The sequence below is a fragment of the Homo sapiens genome, chromosome 15 (genome assembly GCF_000001405.40).
Source record: "Homo sapiens chromosome 15, GRCh38.p14 Primary Assembly".
Lineage (NCBI taxonomy): Eukaryota > Metazoa > Chordata > Mammalia > Primates > Hominidae > Homo > Homo sapiens.
In genome coordinates this window covers 61,363,349-61,369,321 of record NC_000015.10, presented here as the reverse complement: position 1 = coordinate 61,369,321, position 5,973 = coordinate 61,363,349, and the positions used below count along the sequence as shown (strand labels likewise).

General features: G+C 44.2%; 2 annotated features.

Moving 5' to 3' along the window:
* Nucleotides 3,534-4,308: an enhancer, noted in NCBI's record as "OCT4-NANOG-H3K4me1 hESC enhancer chr15:61657213-61657987 (GRCh37/hg19 assembly coordinates)". NCBI's record gives its function as "activates a minimal SCP1, AML or CMV promoter by ChIP-STARR-seq in naive H9 embryonic stem cells {active_cell/tissue: H9 hESC(naive)}" and the evidence as "EXISTENCE:reporter gene assay evidence [ECO:0000049][PMID:30033119]".
* Nucleotides 4,309-5,083: an enhancer, noted in NCBI's record as "OCT4-NANOG-H3K4me1 hESC enhancer chr15:61656438-61657212 (GRCh37/hg19 assembly coordinates)". NCBI's record gives its function as "activates a minimal SCP1, AML or CMV promoter by ChIP-STARR-seq in naive H9 embryonic stem cells {active_cell/tissue: H9 hESC(naive)}" and the evidence as "EXISTENCE:reporter gene assay evidence [ECO:0000049][PMID:30033119]".

The following is a 5,973-nucleotide window of genomic DNA, read 5'->3' as shown; positions in this document are numbered from 1 at the left end:
TACTGACATAGAAGTTTAAGTACTATTAACATATCTTATGTATGTCAGATGGTAGGAGGTTTGGAAAAGACAAGAGAAAAAAATTGGTTTATATATACACAAATACTTTATATCAAAATAAGAAAGAACTACTCAAAACTACTATAGTCCTCATGTCTGTGTTTGCATCTGGTCAGGTGGTCATTGCTGGTATTTATAACTATTTTCTTGCAGTACCTATTCTACATTGCATTTGTGCTCAGCAGATGTGTTGGCGGGTTGTGATTCCTTGCCTGATGGGGTAACTCAAACCTTCATTCCTGAAGAGTCTTGACCATAAGCAATCCTATATTGGGTTGTTATTTTCTGTTTAATGTAGTCATAGGACAGGGGAGTATTGAGAGGTTCCAGAGGGGATTTCTTACATTCTGGACATATTCTGCCTTCCCGTCATGTATCATAGCAACCCCATTTTACCCTGGTAGTTAGGTTCAATCACCCCAGTCAGTAGAAAAATCCCTTTCTCTTCCTATTGATTCACTGTCTTGAAGATTCCAAAATGGCCAGGTGTCCGTTTCAGCTTCCATTTTCAGAGAACCATTGCTGTGCCCAATGGTGTAAGCATTCTTCCTCTGGAGAGTAAAACCTCTAGAGCAGCAGTTCACACAGATGTGGGGAGGGATGCAAAAATGTTTCTAGCAGGTAACGAGGCATAATAATGAGAGGAGTCCCTGCTATGGCCACCCCTCATCAAGGTCCCATGAATCCTGTCTATGGAAGAAACCATATATTGCTTGCTGGCTTAGAGCGTATACTACCTCCTAGCGGACACTGTCCCAGACCTGCAAGGTTTTGCTACCAGCAGCCACTATATCTGAGCTTCAAAAGCCATTCCACTATTCTGTCAGGCCAGTCACTTTATGGGTGATTGAAAGATGTGGTCAGCCCATGAGCATGTGCCCATGGCCATATTGCATTTGCTATAGAACAAGATCCTTGGACACTAGGCTGTATTGAATGTTAAGACAGTGAATAAGGCATTCACAAGTCAGTAGGTGATGGTTTTGGTAGAAATATTGTAGGTAGGGAAGGCAAATCTGTATTCGCAGTAAGTATCCATTCCAGTGAGAATACAGCTCTGCTCCTTCCATGATGGATGTACTCCAATGTCAACAACCTGCCACCAGGTGGCTAGCTGATGCCCTTGGGGAATGATGCTATATTGTCATAGCACAGGCTTAGCAGGTTGTTGGCAGATTGGGTACTCTTTAGTGACAGGAGCCAGGTTGGACTTCAAGAGCGGCCATGTTACTAAGCCCATGCATAACCTTCCTCCATGTCACCATGGCAACTTTGTGAGTCCATTGGGCAAGAATGGCAGTGGCTGATGAAAAAGACTCACTGATGTCCACAGGAAAAGCCATCTTCTCCACTTGATTAACTTTACAGTAATCCATGGTCATTCTCCAAGGTGTATGTATCTTCTGCATTGTTGAATGGAGATATGGTAGAAATCATCATGCCTACATATTTCAAGTCCCTTGATGGTATCCCTCATTTCTGCCATCCAGAAATGTGGTCTTGCTTTTGGCTTACCTTTTCAGCAGATAGACAATTTCAGTGGCTTACACTTGGCCATTGCTTCCACAATAGCTGTTATTCCATGGACTAAGTAACCAAAGTGAATATTCTCCAAGTTTCTAGGATTTCTATTCCAATTATTCCTTCTAGGACTGGGTACCTAAAAAAACTGAGTTTAGGGACCCACTAGACCCACTGTGAGATGGGCCAAAACTCCGCTGATCACATGGCCTTCCCGATCCTCTGCTCTGACTATAGTTGTACAATGGCATTTGTGGTATCAATTCAGAGCAAGCCCGATTAGTCCCCCCTTCCCCAATTCACAATCACCTTGGAAAACATCCACTGGTTGCTGTATGAATGGCAAATAAGATTGATAGTATAGATCGTTGGTTGTATAGCATGGTTTTTCTTCAAGGAAACCTGACCTCCCTCTCATTCAAAGTATTCTCAGTCTGTGAACCGGCTCAAGTCTGGGAAGTTGATGAAGGGTCATGATACTTAGTGTGGTGATTAGACTTCTATTCACCAGGCTTAGAGTTTCTCTGTTTAAACAACTCAAGTAAGACCTTAGTAGGTTGCCCATCTATTTCATTTATAGGAACATTGTAATAACAACAAGCCAACATCAAAGATCTCTGCAGGTCATATTATTCTTATAACAACTTTGGCTCTACTGCTCATTATAGTAACCATGCTCACTCAGTGTTTGGCAATTCAGTGCCACCATGAAGTATCTGCCACACTGAAGTTTTATCATCCCTGCTGAATTCAGGGAGCCTAGTTTAATGACAGCAGTTCCCACTGTTATTAATGGCCTTTAGAGAATGACAATGACAAATTTCTTTAAGGAAGCTGGACACCCCTAGCAATTCTTTTTTCACAGTGTAGTAAAAAGTGTGTGCTTATAATGCTGCAGAGGACATAAAGAGAAAGCGTATGAGCAGATATTACATGATAAGCCCACTCTAGCATTCCAGTTCTAAGACTTTGGATATCTTCCTCTGCATCAGGACATGTCTGGCATTCAAAACTTATTTAGTATTGTACGTATTTAGGCCTAGGTTTCAATCAACCAACTAAGAAGTCTGTTAGTTATCTTCACCCCCTCAGTCTAACACATTAAATCTGCCACCCCAACACCACACTTACACAACCCTGGGAGTTTTGTGCCCTAGCTGCCTTGCTTCCCTCATCCTAGTCTTCACCCTGGTAGAATTGAAGAGCAGAAGAAATTCTCAGAGAACTAAGCATGGTGGTGTGCACCTGTAGTCCTAGCAACTCAGGAGGCTGAGGTGGGAGGATCACTTGAGCCCAGGAGTTCGAGGCCGCAGTGAGCTATAATTGCACCACTGCACTCCAGCCTGGGTAATAGAGTGACACCCCCCAAAAAAGGAACTTACTATTAACTGAAGAAGCTGTATGCCATGGGCTGTTAGGCAAAGAAATAATTCTCACACTTTGGAAAGCTAAAAATTGAGCAACTTAGTCACCAGATATTCCAGGTCCTGCTGAAATGAAATTCTTTATGATGCTCTCAAAATATTTAAAGCTAGTGGTAAATAGAATCTAACTACTGCTCTATTAAACTAATTAAATTATAAACCCACATAAACTACATCAGTGATAGAATAAGCTTCCTCAAATAGTGGCCTTACAGGGAAAGAGGCACTTTTTTTCTGAGAGCAGTATTATTTAGTTCAGTCTCTACAAGTTTTTAATAGACAACGTCTGCATATAATTTTTAAAATAATACTACCAAAGAAGCAAAACCATGTGAGCCAGGGTGAAGATAGGAAATATTGGAATTTTAAGACAGGAACTTTAAAATAACTATAAACATATGTCCAAGAATCTAGTGGAAAAGATAGCATGTATTCACAGAGGAGATATATTTGCAGAGAGATGAAAACTATACAAAGAAACAAAGTAGAAATGCTAGGAATAAAAAACATGATACCACAAAAGACTAATTTATTCAAAAGGTTTTACAGCCACAGGAAAATCACAGGAAATCGTCAGCAACATTTAAGAAAGTTTAGTGAAAGTCAACCAAACTGAAACACAGAGAAGAAAAAAAAAAAGAAAGCAAATTAAAACTGAGGAACAATATCAAATGATCTAATACATTTGTTATTGAGATTCCAAAACCTGATGAGAGAGAGAATGGGGGTAGAAAAAAAATATTTGGAGGGGTGGGGCCAAGATGGCCAACTAGTAACAGTGGGGCCTTTGGAGGCTCCCATCGAAAAAAACCATAATAAGCGTGTGAATCCTTCACCGGCAACCAAGGCACCCAGGTTCTCTCATCAGAACTGACTAGGAGGCTGGCATGACCTACGGAGAGAAAGAAGAACAGTGTGGTGCAGCGGCCCACCTGAGAGCCACACGGGGCAGGGGAGCCCCCTCCCCCCAACCAAGGGAGGCAATGAGTGAGTGCACTACCCAGCCAGGGAAACTGTGCTTCCTCCACGGAGCTGCACAACTCACGGACTGCAAGATCCCATTCGCGAACCCACACCACGGGGGCCTAGCATCACAACCCTGGAACACACAGATTCTCAACAGCCTCTCAGCTGGAATCTGCTTAAGCCTACGGAACTCCTGCGGGGAGGGGCGACCAGCACTGCAGCTGCCGCTGCCCGCTGCCTGCCGTCTAAGCCCTTTGAGCTCCTTGGGGGAGGGGCAGTAGCCAGCACTGGGACTCGCCACTGCCTAACACACTAAGCTTCATGGGCGGGGGAAGGGCGGCACCCATGTCTATAGCTCCAGGCTGTGCTTTTCCCCTGCTGGAGCCAGGGAGGCTAGACGGCTTAGTTCCAAGACTTGTCCCCCACAGCCCAACACACTGGCTGTGGCAGTCTGTGGCCAGAGTGCCTCTTCAGGCCTGACCCTGACCCATCCTTCCTCACTGGGGTGAGACTTCCCTGCAGGATCTCCAATAACTCCCAGCCAGAGGCTCAGGGACAGAATTCGGATCTCCCTGGGCCTGAGCCCCTAGGGGGAGGGGCAGCTGCAGTATCTGTGGACCAGCAGACTTAGCCTCTCCTCCTGGTGGTTCTGAGGAATCCAGGCAGCCCAGAAGAATGGGTTTCACCCCAGCGAGGCACACCCCCTCCACCAAAGGACAAAGTACTTTGTTAAACAGGCCCTATTCCCGGTGCCACCCAACTGAGTGAGACCCTCCAACAGGGGTTGTCAGACACCCTATACAGGAGCAATCCTACTGGCATCAGGCTGGTGCCCCTCGAGGTCAGAGGTCCCAGAAGAAGGAGCAGGCACTCATCTTTGCTGCTCTCCAGCCTCCTGAAGTGACATCTCCAGGCATGGGAGATAATCAGATGAATAGGGCCTGAAGTGAACCCCCAGCAAACGCAGCAGCCCTACAGAAGAGGGACCTGCCCTTTGAAAGAAAAACAAATAAGCAGAAAGCAACAACAACAGCATCAACAACAACAACAAAAAAGCCCCCATAGAAACCCCATCCAAGGGTCAGCAGCCTCAAAGACCAAAACTAGACAAACTCATGAATGAGAAACAATCAATGAAAAAATGCTGAAAACCCAAAAGGCCAGAGTGCCTCTTCTCCTTCAAGCGCTCACAACATCTCTCCATCAAGGGCACAGAACTGGACGGAGGATCAGATGGACGAATTGACAGAAGTAGGCTTCAGAAGATGGGTAATAAAAAACTACGCTGAGCTAATGGAGCATGTTCTAACCCAATGCAAATAAGCTAGGAACCTTGATAAAAGGTAGGAAGAATTGACAAATAGAATAATCAGTTTAGAGAGGAATATAAACGACCGGATGGAGCTGAAAAACAGAGCATGAGAACTTCGTGAAGCATATACGAGTATCAATAGCTGAATCCACCAAGCAGAAGAAAGGATATCAGAGTTTGAAGACCACCTTGCTGAAATAAGGCATGCAGACAAGACTAGAGAAAATATGAAAATAAATGGACAAAGCCTCCAAGATATATGGGACTTCATAGAAAGACCGAACCTACGATTGACTGGAGTACCAGAAGAGACAGGGAGAATGGAAACAAGCTGGAAAACATACTCCAGGATATTATTCAGAACTTCCCCAACCTAGCAAGACAGGCCAACATGCAAATTCAGGAAATACAGAGAACACCATTAAGATACTCCACATGAAGTTTAACCTCAAGAGACATAATCATCAGATTCTCCAAGGTCGTAATGAAGGAAAAACTGTTAAGGGCAGCCAGAGAGAAAGGCCAGGTCACCTACAGAGGGAAGCCTGTCAGATTAACAGGGTACCTTTCAGCAGAAACTCTACAAGCCAGAAGAGATTGGGGGCCTATATTCAACATTCTTAAAGAAAAGAAATTTCAACCCAGAATTTCATATCCAGCTAAATTAAGCTTCATAAGCAAAGGAGAAAT